The sequence below is a fragment of the Homo sapiens genome, chromosome 1 (assembly GCF_000001405.40).
Source record: "Homo sapiens chromosome 1, GRCh38.p14 Primary Assembly".
Classification (NCBI taxonomy): domain Eukaryota; kingdom Metazoa; phylum Chordata; class Mammalia; order Primates; family Hominidae; genus Homo; species Homo sapiens.
The window spans coordinates 7,031,396-7,051,497 of record NC_000001.11 but is presented as its reverse complement, the minus strand read 5'-3'; the positions used below and the strand labels follow the sequence as shown (position 1 = coordinate 7,051,497).

Genomic DNA, 20,102 nt, shown 5'->3' with positions numbered 1-20,102 from the left:
CCAAAGGGCCAAGAGGAACCAGAGGTCTCCGTCCGTGCAGCCCCACCTGCCCACCCCACGCAGCTCCAGGATGTAGCGAAGAGTGGGTCTGGAAGTGTCTGCCTGGGAAGGAGTCTGCAGTAGCGGTAGGTAATCTCCCTACTGCCTTCTCTTGGGGCTGAACGGTCACTGTGTCACCGGAGAAGCCTGCGTCAGCTGCCGTCTGCCTCTGCACGTGGCCATCTCCCAAACAGCTCACTGCGTTCTGAATGAACTCAGAAATTGCCTGCCTCAATTCTGAGATTTTCAGCTCATAAGCACTGGGAGAGAACGTTCAGACCCGAGGTGCTGTATCAACCTTCCGCTAAGCACTCCTGGCAACATATTCAATGTCGACATTGTTCACCGTGTCTCCAGATCACCAGAGGGACGTGGGCACCTTGCCGCAGCGCCTCACCAATCACGACCAAAACATAAAGGGGCTGACTTAGGGGCCAGGGCCTCGTTCCACATGCAAACTCAAATTACACCCCGGAAAGAGGCAGCACAGTCATTCTCCCTGTGCCTGGGAACACACAGTACAGAGGGCCGGGCTTCCAGCGCTGCTCCCTGCAGTGGGGCCTCAAGACGAATGGCCAGCGCTCCTGTGCACGGCTCCCATAAATACCCCAGTGTGATGTTCCCATTTCTCCTTCCCAGAGTCCCCTCTTCTCCGCCTGCCTCACCCTGACAAGGACTAGAAACTCGTGGAGGCCAAGGCCCCCTGGGGCTCCTTCCCCTCCCCACCATACTCTCTCCTCCACCCACCCTACCCCCACCATTGCCTCCACAAATTGGAGTCCCTCACCTAAGAAATAGACAATGAACTCTTCTACCTTGGTGATAAACCTACAAAGACATGTTCAAATAGCCTGGTACTGCCGAGACAGATATCTCAACTGGGCACTGCCAGGTGACGTTTGCAGAAGTCTGAAGTCTACCCCGTGACTTCAGCCCTAGACTCCACACCCCCGCGATGTGTTTGATGCAGCCAAGGCCTGTTTGAGAGTCTTCATCTGAACCCACACCCGGTCGGGACCCAGAGTGGCAATGAGCAGCCAGAGTGTGGGCCCTGCACCCCAGGGACTCAGCTTCAGGCTTCTCCGCCCTGGCCCCGGAGCAGACAGATGCCGTCTCTGGAGTAGCTCAGGGTGCAGGCAGCTTATTATCTACAGACTCTCTTCCTGCCCCATCTCCCCAGGAAGGCAAGACAAGGAGGCTGTGGTCCTACCCCCAGCCCTTCACCACCATGGAGGACCAGGGTGCAGGCCGGGAACAGCCGCCTGAGTCCTCCGTGGCCCTGCCGGTCACTTCCCCGGCCTCACCTCCTTCCACGTCCTCTCTCCACCAGCTCCTGCCTCGCAGTCTCCCGGCTGACCTTCAAACACTCCCAGTGCAATCCCGCCCCAAGGACACCGCGCTTGCAGTCCCCTCCTGGGAACGTCTTTGCCCAGATGTCCCTGGGATTCCCTTCCCCCGCTGGACCCCATTCCCTCCTTCACTTTCCCACTGGGCTCGTGACATTTACTCCTCACTGAGGATCCCCCGATGCCCTCCTCCCACCAGAACATCAGCTCCTTGAAGGCAGAGACTCTGGGCTGCTTTAACCACCACATCCTAGTGTCCAGGACAGTGCCTGACACACACTAAGTCATGGGATGAATAAACACTTAGAAAAGCATCTGAACTTAATAGCTGCTGTTTCTTTAAAACCAAGAGAGCCAGGCATGTAATCTCTTGCACTTTGGGATCCCAGCACTTTGGGAGGCCAAGGCGGGTGGATCCACCTGAGGTCAAGAGTTCGAGACCAGCCTAGCCACCATGATGAAACCTCATCTCTAGTAAAAATACAAAAATTAGCTGGGTGTGGTGGTGGGCCCCTATAATCCCAGCTACTCAGGAGGCTGAGTCAGAAGAATCGCTTGCACCCGGGAGGCAGAGGTTGCAGTTAGTAGAGATTGTGCCACTATACTCCAGCCTGGGCAACAGAGCGAGACTCCATCTCAAAACAAAAAAACAAACAAACAAAAAACCCCAACAATCAAGAGACACAAAATGAAGATGGAATGCAACAATATGCATAGCAGGATCGATCACACTTTCCCAGAATAGAGGATGTACGTGAAGGTGGGAGACAGGTGAGCTGGCAGGCCCTGCACCCCCTGGCCTTGACGCTGCCCCCTCCCTGGGTGTTCCTAAGGAACATCTTGGCTTCTGGCTCACTGCCTTTCTGACTGGGCAGTTTCCTCTATGCTTTGTCCATATTGGTCCCCGCCGGATCTTCAGCTTAGGCTGAGACCCCAGAACCAGCCTGTAGTTCGTACATGAACCCCCAGACTTGAAACAAGCTGAGCTCGCAGTCCGGAGAATGGCTGATGCTGGGTCCTCAAGTTAACTAGCTGACGTTCAGCAGCATTTTCCTCATGTACCGTATCAGGGAACTACTTGTTAAAATGAAGCCACGCATTGTACTTTCCTAAGTCGGCCTGAGTCTGGGGAGATTTGGCCTGTCTGTAAGTTTAATTTTAAACTAATTCCTAAAGCTGGAGGAGATTTGCAACACAGGTTGACGGCTCATCTTAGAGTCTCAGAAGTCCTGTGAACGTTCTCAGATGCACTTGGGGAAGGCCTCGTCACAAAGCTCTGCTTCAAGTGGTCATTCCTTCTGAGGAACACACAGACTGTGTCTGCACACACCTGCAGGTCCTTACACCTGAGTGCGGTGCAAGCTGCAGCTCCCAAGCGACAAAGGAAGCCGCTCACTTCGGACTCAAGACCAGCTGAGAAGAGAATGAAAGGAAGGCAAGACTGTTGCAAGGGAAGGCTCAGGGACAGGTGGTGGTGGGCGTGCTCAGGACACTCCCAGAGGAACGCTGGATCTCTTACAGAGCTCAAATGGGATGACTGCTCACTCGGCAGGTGCTGCAGAATCTCTCCGGGCAAAGGCTGAGATTAGGGCCCAGCTGGCGTAGCCACACCAAAGCCAACAGCAGACGCTCCCCTCTCCTGAGAAGACCCATTCCTGAAACTTTTAATTTACTAATTCCATCAAAAATTAAACTTTTAATTGTACTTTGTTTTTCAAATGGCTCCCACTGTGACTCTCTAGGTAGTATTTGTCTCACTCTGGTAGTTACCTGGACTTTCCAATTGTGGTGGTTTATTTTACCTTGGAGTGACTCTTTTTCCCCTTTTTTCCACGCTCTACAATTTCTCCTTGTCACAATTATTAATAGGTTCTGTTCCTAAAGCCATAATATTCAAATGATCTTAATAAAGCACAGCTCTAGGGCCAGCCAGCCAGCAAAAGAGAAAATCTTGATCCCCACAAGTCCAGGAAGCCTCCACCCTCCCCGCTGAAATCCTCCATGACCACCCCCCTCCCCTCGCCTGGCCAGACAGGCTGCACCATTATGACCAAGGGCTTCCTCTGCTCTCAGAATGACTCAGCCTAGACTTCACCAACTGGCTAAACAGGGAATCAGCTAGGGGGTAGGGTGAGAGATGTCCTAAAATCTCTTCTTTGTCAATGAATACTAGAAAAAGTCACCTGGTGATAGAAGCTTCAGGGTTTATACAGAACCCACCCCAAGTCACAGAGCTCTGTTGCTGGGAAGGCATTCAGCCTGGGTGGATGACATCCAGGCATATCCCCTGCTCGGATGACGCTCCACCACCATCACCACCCACCAAGTGGAGAAGCTGCACTTATCAGCTTCAATCTCTAATCCTAGTAACCTCCAAAAAAAAAAAAAAAAGAGAGAGAGAGAGAGAGAAAGCCAAAGCCAACCAATGAGCAGGAGGAAATGAGGCCGCAAAGAGCTTCGAGACATGCAACCACTTTGGAGACACTGGCCAGTTAAAGGGCAACTTCTAGGGTCACTCAGAGCCTCAGGACACCTGGCAAGAAAAGAGAATGAAAGGGAGGAAGCTGAAGAAGGGTGGGGACAGGAATGGAGAAGAGAGAAAGAAAGGTAAGCGGAAGAGAGGAGGGACAATGGAGAAATGTAAATCTACTTGACAGCCAGAGACCTTATCCTTCAGGTCCTGCGTGTGCCAGTTCCTCCATCTGGAATTCCCTTATCCCCTCCTGCATCTAGAGAATGCAGAGTCCTGATTTAAGACTGTGCTGAAGTGTAACCTTGTCTGTGGAGTACCCTCCTTCTCACCGAAGGGAGAAAATCTATCCTCCTGAACCTTTAGTCAGGACAAGATGTTATACTGCAGTAACAATAACAATTGACCCTAACAGTTCAGTGGCTTCAACAAAAAGCCACTTGTTCACACCACACATCCCCTGCATGTTGTGGGGGAGGAGACTCCACTCCATGTAGTCACTCAGGGATCCAGGCTGCTGGAGCCTCCACCTCAGCACAAGCAGCCCTGATTACTGAGTCAGGAGAAGGGCACATAGCAAACCACACATGTCACTTCTGCTCACCCTGCATGAGCCAAAGTCAGTTGTACAACCACTCCTAACTTCAAAGGGGGCAGGGAGGAAGAGTTCCACCATGGGCACCCAGGAGGAAAAACAGAAATATCAACTCTCAGTGCTAAGGCTATCTCCCATGTCTACTCCGGCAGCAGTTGTGATGGTCACTGCTCCATGGCAGCATTTCACATTAGGTTTTATAGTTTCTCCTTTTAACAAGCTGGAAGAAAAGCTCTACTATCTGTACTTGCATTTTTACAGATAAGAAAAATCAAGGCTCAAAGAATTTAAACATATTTATTGAGGTCAGCATTTAAGAACATGAGTCCAAAACTCACACTCTTGCCCCTAAACCACACACATTCCTAAGTGGAGTTAGTCACTTTCTCCTCTCTCCCACTGTCTCTCCCACTGAACCATGAGATCTTCAAGGGAAAAACAGGGCCTTGTTCACCTGGCCAGCAGAGTTAGGCACTAAGAAATGTCTGCAGAGTGAGCACATCAGCTGCATCCGGGATGGAACACAGACGGCAGCCCCAGGCTGCTGCAGCCCTTGCCAGTGAGCACCATGGAGCCCTGCCAATTTCAGCCACAAGAACCACGGACAGCTCCCATGTGGCACTCCCTCCCTCTGGAAGCCTCCGGCAGCTGGGAGACCCTTTGGGAGTTCTCTGGGACTTGGGAGGCTCTGGTATCCTGGCCTCCTGCTGTTCCAGGTCCAACCAAGCCAGCCAGAAAAATGTGGGAGGTTGTCAACAAATGCCCTCCAAGTTTTTATCAGTGTGGGCTTAACTACATTGGCTACTAGCTTATTAAATAAAGTAAATTAGGTCTCAATTATTTGCCTGCACACCAGGCAGGAAAAATGAAATTTTCAATTTAAACATAATATTGCTATTAATATGCAGAGGCAGATCTGAGATCAGACTTTCTGTGCACTTCTACTGAGAGAGGTCAGAGAAGAGGGAGATTCTCATGAAGGGGTCCCCTCCCAACCAAGGCACCCACTGGAGAATCCCAGGCCCTTTCAGAAGAGCTGGGTTTTGGATGCCTGGAAAAGCAGTTTGGGAAGGAACAGCAGAACCTAAACCATGCGTCTGTTTTATTTTCTTCAGTGCATCACTGCCAAATGCCCTTATTAACATTACCTTTCCATATCAAAACATCTAAATCGGGCACATTCGAGGCCTCTGCATTTGCATTTTTTAATGGAAAGAGAGAACTAGTATCGAGGAAGGATGTGCTTAACTCCAAGCCCGTATCAGCCACACAATCCAACAACAGATGCTAGAGGACGTCTTCAAGAGGAGACTTTTAAAATCTACTCATGTGGTGTTATTTGGGCTTAATCAGCACAATGTGCTCTAAAAGCCAATTTCATATCTGGAATCAAAAGAACCAGGATTCAGTACCGATAGTCACCTTCTAGGGCCTCCCCTTCCAGAAACCCTTCTTGCTAAGGGCATCTACAATAAGGATGTAACGGCTCTAATGGAATAAAAATAATCTTTCAAATGTAGATATATATAAAGTTTAAAGAGTTTGAGGTTGGCCTGCTGGGGGGTACAAATTAATGACTAGTCAGACATGCAGTCTCAGGTATTGGGGGTATTTGGTGCCGGATGGTGACCAGCTGTTTGCTATTTCAGCTGAGGACAGAATGAACAGGAAAGATGCTTCCAACTACAGCAGGAGGGGGCCAGACGGGCAGGTGTGGCTAGCAACAGCAATGCCCTTCCAGGAGAGGTTGGTCTCATCCCTGGAGGCCAAGTCACAGTGGATAAGGAGCAAGCTTTTGGGTTCTGCCACCTTTCGCTGGGTGACCACCACCAAGTTATCTTTTAAACACTTTGAACTGCTTTGCGTCTAAAACGTGGGGATGATATTAGTGCTGGCTTCTCGGGGTCCTTAGGAGGATTTTAAAAGAGAAGCACATAAAACATTAGCTTAGTTCTGGCCCATGATTAAAAACAGGATAGACTCATTTGCGCAGTGTTCAGGTACAAGCTATACTTCACCAGACTCTCTTACAGGAGTCTCAACAATTGAAGAGATTTATTCACTGGGTTTATGAAGAGGCTGCTTCCAAAGAAACATAGGAAGCCCATAGAAACAAGTATGAGTTTTTATTTTGGGGGATTTTTTTTTTTAATCAAAATGGCGGGATGTTAATGGGGAGAGGAGGCACTGCTGGCAGACAGGAATGGGAAAGAAAACCACAGGCGGGAAGAGGAGGGAGTGGGGGAGAGGACGTGAGGGGGAAAGATGCGCCAGGCAGGGGGGCAGGAGGACTGCACGCAGGGTAAGTTCCCTCCCCAAAGCAAGGGAAGAGCTGATGCCTCCTCGGAAGGTCGCCCAGAGAGGGGAGGGACAGGCTTCCTGTCTCTGGCTCATTCAGGCTCCAAATGCCAGGTCTCCAAGGTCGGAGAGGACGTCTCCTGTTTCAGCGCCACCACAGAATCTGCCCGCTAGAGGCCCCATCACCCATCTGCTAATCACGCATGTGCCTTCCTAGCCTCAGATGCTTATGGCCCTGCTGAAGGCCTGGTGTTTGTGCCATCGGTTACATGCAGAGGGGCATGATCTGGGTCCCAGTGGCACTGCCCTGCTTTCCCGGGGTCCCCAGTGGCACGGCTCTGCGTCCTCGGCGTCCCCAGCAGTACTGCTGTGAGTCCCCAGGGTCCCCAGCGGCACTGCTCTGAGTCCCCGGGGTCCCCAGCGGCACTGCTCTGCGTCTCTCTGGGTCTCCCCCATTCCCGTCTAGTCTGGGTGAGACCCTTGGCCAGTCCCAACCGTGTGTGAACAGGCCCAGCAGCTGTGGCCACAGGGTCCATGACACTGGGGCGCCTGCTCTGCAGCCCCAGCCATGCGCTGTGCATGCATGTGTGTGCATATGTGACACCCACGTGCCTTCTGCAGAGACATCCAGGAGAAATTCCCACTGAAGGGGATGGCGGCAGCATCTCCCGTAGATCACTGCTCCTGACCTCCGCTGGCAGCCCTAATGGCCCTCTGGAGGATCCAGGTAATACAGTCACCCTCCCCTAGACCTATATCCTCCAAATGTTCCCAGTGAGGAATGTGAGCTCCTGCATCCAGAACCACCCTCTCCCCTGGCTGCCTGGCCCCCTGCGGAGATCACATGCATCTCTAATTTCTCTGTGTTCCGGCAACTCGGGGATTTAGAGCTGGAAGAGAAACCAGTGCGTGAGCAGTCTCACAAAAGCTCTAGCCTGAGGGCCCGAGTATTTGCTAAATGCAAAGCCTGCCAAACTGCACCCCCAAGGCCCTAATGTTCTCCCGTGAGCCACCCACCGAAGACGAAAACAGCTTCCCTGGAACCAACCTTCAGGAGCCACTGCTAATAAAGGCAGGCGTTTCTTACGTTCTACTGAAAAACGTCACCATATAAGGAAGATGACCAACCAAAGAGGACAGGAAGGGTGGGTCTGAGAAAGAGTCGAAGCCATTCTGCAACGGGGTAAATGTTTTCCGCCGAGCCTCTGGATGAGAATTTTGATGGCTCACATTTCCCGGACACTAGCTGGAAAACAAGCCCTGTGCTTTTAAGCACCCGACATCATGCACCATCTCCTTTTAACACCAAATAGCTGTAGGTGGACAGCACTATTACTGACCCCACCTGACGGAGCAGGCACGTGCACACACACACACACAGAGACATGCACACACTCAAGTGCACACACAGAAAGGTAAGGCAGACAAGCCTAATTAACCTAAGAAAATCTAACCCCAGGTTGCTGCCAGAAATGGACTTTGAGAATGCAGCTCAGGGTGAGCGTAGGGTGGGGGAAAGAGGAGGGCCCCTGCCTCTGAGTGAGGCCCCGATGCACCCACCATCCTATGAAAGCAAGCCTGCCCAGAGGCCTGTGCCAGCGGCCTTGGCAGTCAAATGTTCCCTAAGTGGCCACCTGTCCCGTCCTGCCAGGCTCCACAGCTGGGCAGACCTTCCACAAGTGAGAAAGCTGGGGCTGCGTGTCCATGCCCCAGAGCACACTGCAGCACACCCAGGCCAGTGAAGAAACTTGGGGGGTGGTTTGGTTGATTTCATTTTGTTTTCTTGAGGCAACCACACATTGAAGACTCTCAGAAACACCTGCTTTCTACCTTATTACAGTGACCTCTGGTGGTCAAGAATCAGATATTGCACAGCCAAATTAGAATTAAATAGCTTAATTTCAAGCAACTCTAGGTAACAAACGCCTAGAGGTCCTTTAAGAGGTTCTGAGAAGAGCAGAAGAGAAGGAACTGTGAGTCGGGAGCTGCTGCCAGCCCTACTGAAGGGAGGAGACTGGCTGTCACCTGACCCTGAGCAAAACCCGCTAGGGCTTCTCAGATGATGCTTCCAGAGCAAATGCGAAAGGCCTCCGCGCTCCAACCTGGGGCGGCATCTCGGCTGCTGCTCCCCCTCCCCCGACCAGCTGGTGGCATCTCAATGCCAGGCTTAGAGGGCACGGGCTCAGGGAGGTTTTTAGCAAAAGCTTTCCCCCTGCCAGGGGACCTGCCATGAGCTCAGGGGGAGGAAGGGTTTCTGGAAGGCTTGCGATCTCAGCGCCACCACCAGCCCTGCTCCAGCTGCTCCAGGGCTGAACAGGGAGAGGCAGGGAAACTGGGCTCCTTTCCCCCCACTGGAATCACAAGTCCCAGCCAAGAGAAGAAGGTCGGCCAGGAACAAGAGGAAGAAACAGCGTTTCTGCCCACACTCCATGGTACACTGGGTACCCAGGCTATGGTGCCAGGGCAGCCCAGGGAAGGGGGACGAGGAGGCAAGAGAAGCAGCATCTGCTTTGGGAGTCATTCTGGAGACTGAAAGGAAAGATAAAATCCCAGGGGCCATGATCAATATCCCCTTAGCCCTAAGCCAGGGCAGCAGAAGTCAGAGGCTGGAGGAGGGGAATTCTCCTGTGGAAAACAAAGCTGAACAGGGTATCCTGGAACAAACCTTAGCACAAGCAAGCACCTCTATCACCCTATCCCCAAGGACACTCTCAAGACATTCTAGACAGATGCTTTAAACCCTAAAAACTCTCCAGGGACAAGCATCCAACAACCTCAACCCATTCTAGGAGCTTCTAGAAGCTTCCAGATCAGAGCATTCAGACGTTAACCCCTGCACACATTATTGCCACCACTTGGTCTGTCCATAGTGTGGAGGCTTCAGTCAAATCCCCAAACACTAATGACAGATCCTCCCAAGGTATCGAGATAGTCTAGGCCTTGCTGTTTTGAATATGAAGACAGACTGGTTCGCTCTCCTGATATTCTTTGGAATTCAAAACGGATGTAGAATATCAATATCGTCTCAATTTTCCTTTATCTACGAGGAGACGTCAGCAAACCTTTCTGCCAAGGATTGTACAAGGATCATTAAAAGGAAAATGTCCATGGTAATTGTGCCTTTATGCGTATTTCTTCACTCCAATATTCTATAACATAATAATGTTTCACATTTCTACAGAACTGTCTTTTCAGCATGTTTTCGCATTATGCTTAATTTCGTAAGAGTTTCTCAGCCCCACATAACGACACAGTTCAATGCAAAATCAGATATAAATCTAGCTTAAGAGACTCTCAACAGGAATTTCACTTAAAACTGTAAATGTTAAAAGATTCTGCCTCTGATTTATGTTCTGTTGTGTGTGTGTGTTTCAAACAGTGAGCTTCCCCAGCCCTCTTAGACAATAGATGCTGGCAAAGCCACAGCAGCCACAGCCCAGGCCTCGCAGGTCTGACTGGACTGGCTCTGAGCCCCTCTGCAGAGGAAGCCGAGAAGGGGACAGAGGGCAACCCTTCGGTAGAAGCTCCAGCTCCGGGGCCGTGTGGGGCCTCGTGTAGAAAATGAACCAAGGGTGGCTGACACCGTCGCCCGCACTGGCTTGGGGCCAACTTTTAGGGAGTCATTTTGCAGCTTTATCTCATTTCCCTGCTCCTCCAAAATGCCAGGGCAGCATAAGGGCCCTCCGCCTCCTGCGCCCACACGCACCTGTCTTAAAAAACAGAGGGAGGGCCAGGCACCATGGCTCATGCCTGTAATCCCAGCACTTTGGGAGGCTGAGGCGGGCAGATCATGAGGTCAAGAGATCGAGACCATCCTGGCCAACATGGTGAAACCCAGTCTCTACTAAAAACAAAGATTAGCTGGGTATGGTGGTGCACATCTGTGGTCCCAGCTACTCGAGAGGCTGAGGCAGGGGAATCGCTTCAACCAGGGAGGCAGAGGCTGCAGTGAGCCAAGATCGCGCCATTGCACACGCCAGCCTGGACCGCAGAGTGAGACTCTGTCTTTAAAAAAAAAAAAAAAAAGAGGGAGATCCATGGCCAAGGCAGAAAGTCCTAGGTCAGGGTTTTATTCTGTATTGTACCTGGCTGTGGTCATGACCTTGCACATGTCAAGGTGAAAAGATGACCCCTGACTCCCTGCTTACGGGTACACCTGGGAGACGGGCAAGCTGACAGTGCCAAGAGCTCATTTGGGAAGAAGCAGGCTGATGCCTTCAGGTGCTGTGAACTGTGAATTCTTGATGGAATTAATGAATCCAGAGGAGGCATTCATCCATTGTCTAAGCACATTTAAGACAATTTTAAAATGTGGATTATTTACATACTAGGCTCTAATGACTCCGAAGCAACCATTACAGTCCGTCACGTAAAGCCATATCCAAGCAATCTGATTGCACCGGATCACACGCATGCCGTGTTTAGACAACTTACAGTACACAAATTATTTACATCGTGAAAACATCTCTGTAGCCCTGGCATTACGCTATCAAGAGACAACACAGCAGCAGATTAAATTGAAATATGCTGGCAGCTTTTGAAACTTTCGACTTTATTCCAAAATGCTAAAAGCCAAAAAAAAAAAAAAATCACAGTTAGCGTGTCTAAAATTTCACTTGAAAGGTGGGGCTGTGGTGAGTTGCCACCCAAAAAAAGAAAAGTCGCCACTTTGCAATTGTAAAATCCATTTATTTAAAGAAGATTGAAGTATCCAAGCCTTCTGATAGCACTTAACATATTTTAAAATATGCACTGCAAAGCTCTAAAAGTTCCTGAATTCCTCCATAAAAAAAAAAAAATGTTTTGCCACTTCTAATGGACTCCAACCAACTCCAAGCAGAATCTGTAGGGTACACGCCCCCAGAAAAAAGGCAATTGAAATGACTTGTCTATATCTTTCCAGGAAAGTAAATTATATGTAAGTCTGTACTCACACTCCCACTCCCCTATAGGTTACCCATTTTCCTCCCACACTCCACAGCCCACAGAAATGAAGAGAAAATTATCAAGTGGGTTTAGGTGCTTGGATACCTAATTGCAACAAATCTAAGCGCCTCATCTTTCTGCCTTTTAGAACTTTGGTTTCAGACTTTAAAGCGATTCCCATTAGCCACATGCCAATTAGCTTCGAGCATTTCACAGAATAGAACGCCCCTTGAGATAAATCGCCCCACATACCTACACGTCTTCCAAATATCTCCATTTGTTTTTCAATATCTCACTAAAATGAGGGAGGCTCTTGGACAATGGTTCAGATGTGAAAGGAAGCGCTATTAATTTTAATTCAGAGTCCTCAAACCAAGGTATCAGAAAGGACCCCAGACTTAATTAAGGACAACACAAGTCTCTCTAATCCAAAGAATGCTCCATTTCTGTCCCCTGTGCTTCAAGAATTACAAGGGTTGCCTGGGCATTTTGTAGCTTTGCAAGGGAAGCAAAGCTTTGTATAACTAGGTTTGATGATGATGATAGTAAAAAAGAAGGGAGGAGGAGGAGGAGGAAGAAAAGTGGGAAGGTGGCAGCCATGACGCCACACTCCAACAGTATATTAAATGGCGTAATTCACACAGAAGTATATAAAGCATAAAGTAAAAGTCACATTGCTCAGTAACCCTGTTCCAGCAAATTACCACCAGAAGTGGTTTGCTATGACCCTTGGCATATAGAAACATCTTTGTTATTTATTTATTTTATTTTATTTTTTATTTTTGAGACAGAGTCTTGCTCTGTCACCCAGGCTGGAGTGCAGTGGCAGGATCTCGGCTCACTGCAACCTCCACCTCCCAGGTTGAAACAATTCTCCTGCCTCAGTCTCCTGAGTAGCTGGGATTACAGGCGCCTGCCACTATGACCGGCTAATTTTTGTATTTTTGGTAGAGACAGGGTTTCACCATGTTGGCCATACTGGTCTCGAACTCCTGACCTCAAGTGATCTGCCCACCTCGGCCTCCCAAAGTGCTGGGATTACAGGCGTGAGCCACCACGCCCAGCCTTTGTTATTTATATAAATGGGTACATACAATATCTGTATTGTTATAAAAACTAATGTTTCAAAAGAAATATGAACAAACTGTGAACTCTAATGAATGATATTCCTACCTGTTGAAATATTTGGGAGAAAGTGTATTGATGTGTACAACCTTCCTGAAATGAATCAAAATATCAAGATGGATGGATGAAAACAGAAGGGTGAATATTGATAAGGCAGGTAAAATGAAATGCTAGCCACAGGCGCTACTTGGTGGGTTTATGGGTTTCATTGCAAAACTCTTTCAATTTTGTTATATTTTTGAAATACGTTTGAAATCTTTAAATTGAAATGGCAGAAAAACTAATTTTTTCACTTAATATATGGCATTGATCTCTGTATCCTTTTTAACCACTACACAAGATTCCATTTTATGGGTGCACCATGATGTCCCCACTGGTGGACATTTAGGTTACTTTGCAATGACAAACAATGCCACAATGAATATGCATGTAAATATGCCTTTGAATGCTCATGATCACATTTTTATAGGAAAAATTTCTAAATATGAATTTGACTTAAAGAAAATCAACACTTTGACTTTTAATATATAATAATAACAGCAACACCCACTGCACATTTACTCTGTGCAGACACTCCTGTAAGCACTTTTCATGTATTGTAAACTCCTCACGAGAACTTCATTAAGTAGGCACTAACGTAGCCTCATTTTATAGTTGAGGAAACTGAGGCCTCGAGAGGTTAAGTAACTTGCCCAAGGTCTTACAGCTGGAAAATAGCAATTTCACTCCGAAGCCAGTAATTTTAACCATTGTGTTTAAAATATGGCAAAAAAAAAAAAAATAAAGATCAAACCAATATATATATTCCTAGTAACAGTGTGTGTCAGTTACTGTTTCCCAAAGCTGCATTTTTTTTTTTTTGATATGGAGTCTCGCTCTGTTGCCCAGGCTGGAGTGCAGTGGTGCGATCTTGGCTCACTGCAAGCTCCGCCTCCCGGGTTCATGCCATTCTACTGCCTCAGCCTCCTGAGTAGCTAGGATTACAGGCACCTGCCACCATGCCCGGCTAGTTTTTATATTTTTAGTAGAGACAGGGTTTCACCGTGTTAGCCAGGATAGTCTCGATCTCCTGACCTCATGATCCGCCTGCCTCGGCCTTCCAAAGTGCTGGGATTACAGGCGTGAGCCACCGCGCCCGGCCTGTTTTTAAATTTATCTAAAACTTAACGAAAACACTGTCCATTTTTCGAAGTAGCATAAAGCCCAATGCGAAGAACCCAGCAGAGAGAGAAAGCAGCACAGATTGGGGCTGGGCAGGGAACAAATGCCTCGTTGATTCCAGCCGGAGCACAGGGAAAGGCCAACGTGCCACCTCAAGTGGGATCCTCTCCCTGCTCCTCCGCCTGCCTCTCTGCCTCACGCACCCCTCCTGGTTCTGCAGTGATGCTGGCAGGTAAACATGCCTATGAAACTCTCAAACTTCTGTTTTTAAACTCTGTAAATCCCAACCCATCCTCCCAGAAGCATTCATGCAATCTCAAGCATTCTACCTCCGTTTTTCTTTATCAGACAGCTGCAAGTAGAAAGAACTAAACAAATGAGCAAGTGTATCGTCTCTCTTTCCATCATCTACTCAATTAGTTCAAGTAAATCTTTAGACAATGCTTGATGTGTCCGTAGGATATTATCATCAACAAACTCAAAAGGTTCTTTTGTTTTACTATCTAAGACATTATAAATGATCCCATTATAAAACCGATGAAGAAGTCTTCCTATAGCAGGCTGTAGTACCAGCCCCGAACTTCCAAGGCCTCACTGAAACACAGCCTCCACGCAATTAACCCCGAAGACAAGAAAGCCACAGCCACGAAGAGAGACCTCTGCAAATAGCAGGGCACCTGCCTGGCTGAAGCTCACAGCAGAACAAAACAGTAGTGATACCTAATAATATGGCTGCATTATTGTTGCTGTGGCAACAAAAATACTGTAATTGATAGAGCCAACTCGCTTAGCAGAAACGTAACAAACTATGCCCGAAAATAGGTTTGGAAGAAGAGCTGAAAGAGAAATAAAAACAGAGTAACTTCAGATAACAAGCCAATCACCTCAGATGTTAGCGGAATGGAAAAAGCACAAACCTTGAACCCAAAAGGCCTAGTTTCCAATCATGACTTCATAACTGACTCACTGCATGACATCAGCATGTAACTTAACCTTTCTGAATGCTAGTCGTCTCTGTTGTGGAATTAGGATCGTAAGTCCTACTTCATAGGTGATAATAAAGCTGAATATGAAACTAGGTGAGGTCCCTGGCTGATCGCACCCTCTCCATAATGGCAGCTGTTAGCACTATGATAATAATCGTGGTGGGCTCGCCAACTAGTATTCATTTAGCAGTTTTCACGTAGAACTGAGAATCCATCATGTGTTCACACATTCTCTCTTCTTCTCTATTTCTCAGTGATGATGATGATGATTATGGAAGACTTCAAGCTTTCCAAAACCTATAGAGGATAATCTAATAAAAACCTGCGTGCCAACCAATCGTATTTTCTGTCATAAAAATTCACTAGATATCCTCCAATTTATTTTTTAGAAATAAAAAAGAATTACAGATATAACTGCAGCTACTCTGTACCTGCCCATCTCATTCTCCTCCCTCCCTCTCAGAGGCAGCTGCTATCTTCCATTTAGTTTTTATTTACTATATACGTAGGCGTCCATAAACAACAAATATTTTTTACGTTTTAAGCTTATATAAATGGTACCGTGCTGTACATTTCTTTTTGCAACTTGTTTTTTTCCCCACTGAATTTTGATCTTTATACATATATACACACAGCCTTAGCTTATTCATTTCAACTGCTATATACTATTTCATTATATAAGAATACTGCAATTTATTTGCCCCTTCTACTACTGATGAACTTTAAATTGTTTCCGAATTTCTATTAGTGTAAACGTTGTTAACACAGAACATTCTTGCTCATGTCTCTGTACACAGATACAAGGCTGTCTGTAGAGTAGCAGTTCTCCAAATATGGTCTGCAGACCCTTCGGGCATCCTTAAGAGATCCTTTTGGGAGACAGAGAGGTCAGAACCATTTTTGTAAAACACCAAGAATTGATTTGCCTTTTTCACTGTATTGGCATTTGCACTGCTGGAGCAAAAGCAACCGTGGGTAAAACTGCTGGGGCCTCACCACAAATCAAGGTAGTAGCAACCAACTGTACTGGTAATCACATATTCTTCATTGCCATGTGCTTACAGAAAAACACACACACATGCACACACGCTTTGCCAGTTTTACTTTAGAATTCCTTAATGAAGCAATCAAAATAAGATTTTTTTTTTTTTGAGACCGAGTTTCGCTCTTGTTGCCCAGGCTGGAGTGCAATGGCGCAATCTCGGCTCACTGCAACCTCTGCCTTCCAGGTTCAAATGATTCTCCTGCCTCAGCCTCCCAAGTAGCTGAGATTACAGGCGCGTGCCACCACACCCGGCTTATTTTTTGCATTTAGTAGAGATGGGGTTTTACCATGTTGATGAGGTGGTCTCAAACTCCTGACCTCAGGTGATCCACCTGCCTCAGCCTCCCAAAGTGCTGGAATTACAGGTATGAGCCACCGCCTCCAGCCAAAAATGACAGCTTTTATTCTTTAGGTTGGTGCAAAAGTAACTGTGGTCTTTACCATCACTTCTAATGTGCTTTTAAAACACTTCTGCTGCAATCTAAAGTATGATGGTTGTCTTGAAGAAAAGCATTTGTGTGACTGAGTTACAAGCTAAATGAGCAACTTTTTTCATGGAATGCCAATTTTTATTTTAAAAAAAACAACTGATTTTTTTTAAAACTATGGTTCTTTAGATGCAGGTATTTGGCAGGGCTTCTGCCTCTGGCCAAGATGGAGTAAGAAGGACTAGAGGTCCTCTCCTGCTTAAAATAACTAAAAAACGACAACATTTATGAAACATCAGTTCTCTAGATATCAGACATCTGGGAGTGAAGAACGGCGAGGTCAGCCCCGGGACTGCCCCAGCTTTCTTGCTATAGAGTTTCCAAACCATGGCACAGGAGGGCATCCTAAGTCGAGCAATCTTCCTGAGTTGAGAAGGAACTAAGAATGTAAGAAGGCCAAGGCAGCCAGAGGTCACAGGGCAGAGTGTTGGAAAAAGACACACAGAGAACTCCAGAGCTGTGCAGAGGCTGCTTCAAGTAGTCAAATAGACATGGATCAGTGCACGTGTATGAGGAAACTATCTCAGGCCTTGTAACACCTTTTAACAGGATTAAAAACAACAATCGGCTGGGCACGTGGCTCACGCCGGTAATCTCAACACTTTGGGAGGCCGAGGCGGGTGGATCACAAGGTCAGGTGTTCAAGACCAGCCCGGCCAAGATGGTGAAAGCCCCCTCTGCTAAAAATACAAAAATTAACTGGCTGTGGTGGTGGGCACCTGTAATCCCAGCTACTTGGGAGGCTGAGGCAGAGAATTGCTCAAACCTGGGAGGTGGAGGTTGCAGTGAGCCAAGATCGCACCACTGCACTCCAGCCTGGGCAACAGAGCGAGACTCTGTCTCAAACAAACAAATAAACAAAACAACAATCACTGTCACTCACACTTGGACCAGAAATAGTGCCTGTTTCCGCTAACAAGAGTAAAATCTTCATAATATATGGGGCATAGGGGAGAGTACTCAGTAGAGTTTTACCTCAGTAGTGGGTAAAAAAAATCAGCCCTGAACTCAATGATGTTCTGTACCCACCTAAAAAAGCATAAAAGCGAAATGTGAAAGGGTTAAACTAATTCCAAATAATGTAACCACATTCCAGAACAATGCTCAAGAATATTTATAAGAATAGGCTGGGCACGGTGGCTCATGCCTGTAATCCCAGCACTTTGGGAGGCCAAAGGGGGTGGATCACTTGGGGTCAGGCGTTTGAGACCAGCCTGGCCAACATGGTAAAACCCCGTCTCTACTGAAAATACAAAAATTAGCCAGACATGGTGGCATACACCTGTGATCCCAGCTACTCAGGAGGCTGAGGCAGGAGAATCGCTTGAACCCGGGAGGCGGAGGTTGCAGTGAGCCGAGATCACCGCCACAGCACTCCAGCCTGGGCAACAGAGTGAGACTCTGTATCAAAAAAAAAAAAAAAAAAAAAAGAATATTTACAAGAATAAACATGTACACAGTACCCAATATGATAAATTCATAATGTCTGGAATCAAAGACAAAATTCCCAGGCATACAAAGAAGCAGGAAAATATGATTCATAATAAGAAGAAAAATCAATCACAACCAAACCAGAAATTATACACTGATAAAATTAGTGGGTATGAAGATTAAACATTAAAAAGAGATATGGGAGAATTAAACAGATCCAAGTAAAACTTCTAAAGATGCAAACTGCAGTGAAAACCTAAGATGCAGTCTGAGGTGAAAAACACACTGGGTGTAATTAACAGACAATTAGACACCACTAAAGAAAATATTAGTGAACTGAAAGACAGGAAATGAAACAGGAAAAAGAAAAAACTGAATAGAGTATCTGCAACAACTTTAAGCAGTCTAATATATGTAAAAGTTCCCTATGCAGAAGATGGGACAGAAACAAATAGAAAAACTAACAGCCAAAATTTTCCAAATTTGATAAAACTATAAATCCACATATCCAAGTAGCTCAACGAGCCCCAAGCACCAGAAACATAAGAAAACTACACCACGGCACATCATAATCATCTTGATTAACTCCAGTGATAAAGAAAAAATCCTAAAAGCAGCCACAGGAAATGGATGCATTGTACAGAGAAAAACAAAGATATGAATAACTGCAGACTTCTCATCAGAAATTATGCTAGCAAGCCAGAAGACATAGAGAAACTTCTTTAAAGTGCTAAGAGAAAAAACAAAAACTATCAACCTAGAATTCTTTATCCATTGAAAATATCTTTCAAAAACAAAAGTGAAATACTTTTTTATAGATACAAAAACTGAAAGAATTCATGACCAGCAGACATGCACTACAAGAAATATTAAAGCAACTCATTCAGGCAGAAGGGAAAAAAATAGCAGATGGAAATCTGGATCTACACAAAGAAATGAAGAGCACTGGAAATGGTAGAGATGTGGGTATATATAAAGACTTTTTATTCCTTAAATCTATTAAAAAGATAAACAACTACTTAAAGCAAAATAATAAATCACAGGGTTTATAACAAATCTATAAGTAAAAGGTATGAGAAGAATTTAAAAAAAGATGGGGAGGAAGAAATGAAATTATACTATAATAAGGTTCTTATACTATACATGAAGTGGTATAACATCACCTGAAAGTGGACTATGATAAGTCAAAGATGGACGCTAAAAACTCTAAAACAAGCAGTAAAATAACAAAGATTTATAGATAAGCCAGCCAACAAAAGAGATAAAATGGAATGATAAAAAAATGTTCAGTTAATCCAAAAGAAGGCAGAAAAAGAGAAAAGGGGCCGGGTGCAGTGGCTCACGCCTATAATCCCAGCACTCTGGGAGGCCGAGGCAGGTGGATTTCTTGAGATCAGGAGTTCAAGGCCAGCCTGGTCAAATGGTGAAACCCTGTCTCTACTAAAAATGCAAAAATTAGCTAGACATGGTGGTGGGTGCCTGTAATACCAGCTACTCAGGAGGCTGAGGGAGGAAAATTTCTTGAACCCAGGAGATACAGGTTGCAGTGAGCCAAGATCATGCCACTGCACTTCAGCCCAGGCAACAGAGCAGGACTCCATCTCAAAAATAAATAAATAAATAAATAAATAAGAGAAAAGGGGGACAAACAACAGATGGGGAAACAGAAAACAAATAGAAACTTAACCATATTGATAATTGCATTAAATATAAGTGGTCTAACTACTTCAAATAAAAGACAGAGATTGGCTGGGCGTGGTGACTCATGCCTATAATCCCAGCACTTCAGGAGGCCAAGGTGGGCAGATCACAAGGTCAGGAGATCAACACCATCCTGGCTAACACAGTGAAACCCCGTCTCTACTAAAAAATACAAAAAAATTAGCTGGGCATGGTGGCACGCGCCTGTAGTCCCAGCTACTCTGGAGGCTCAGGCAGGGGAATCACTTGAACCCGGGAGGCGGAGGTTGCAGTGAACCAAGATTGCACCACTGCACTCCAGCCTGGGTGACAGAGTGAGAGTCTGTCTCAAGAAAAAAAAGACAGAGACTGCAAGACTGCATTAAACAGCAAGACCAAACTATATGTTATCTACAGAAGCCCACTTTAAATGAAAAGACAAAAATAAGTTAAAACTAAAAGAATGGAAGAAGATATACCATTGCAACACTAATAAAAAGAAATTTGCAATG

At 46.5% G+C, this 20,102-nt stretch overlaps 1 protein-coding gene across 25 annotated transcripts in view, besides 1 other annotated feature; it reads right to left on the bottom strand.

Moving 5' to 3' along the window:
• CAMTA1 (calmodulin binding transcription activator 1) overlaps positions 1–20,102 on the bottom strand; it is a 984,253-nt gene that overhangs the window by 718,209 nt on the left and 245,942 nt on the right. The window lies entirely within an intron of this gene.
• Positions 868–1,767: an enhancer, noted in NCBI's record as "H3K27ac-H3K4me1 hESC enhancer chr1:7109791-7110690 (GRCh37/hg19 assembly coordinates)". NCBI's record gives its function as "activates a minimal SCP1, AML or CMV promoter by ChIP-STARR-seq in naive H9 embryonic stem cells {active_cell/tissue: H9 hESC(naive)}" and the evidence as "EXISTENCE:reporter gene assay evidence [ECO:0000049][PMID:30033119]".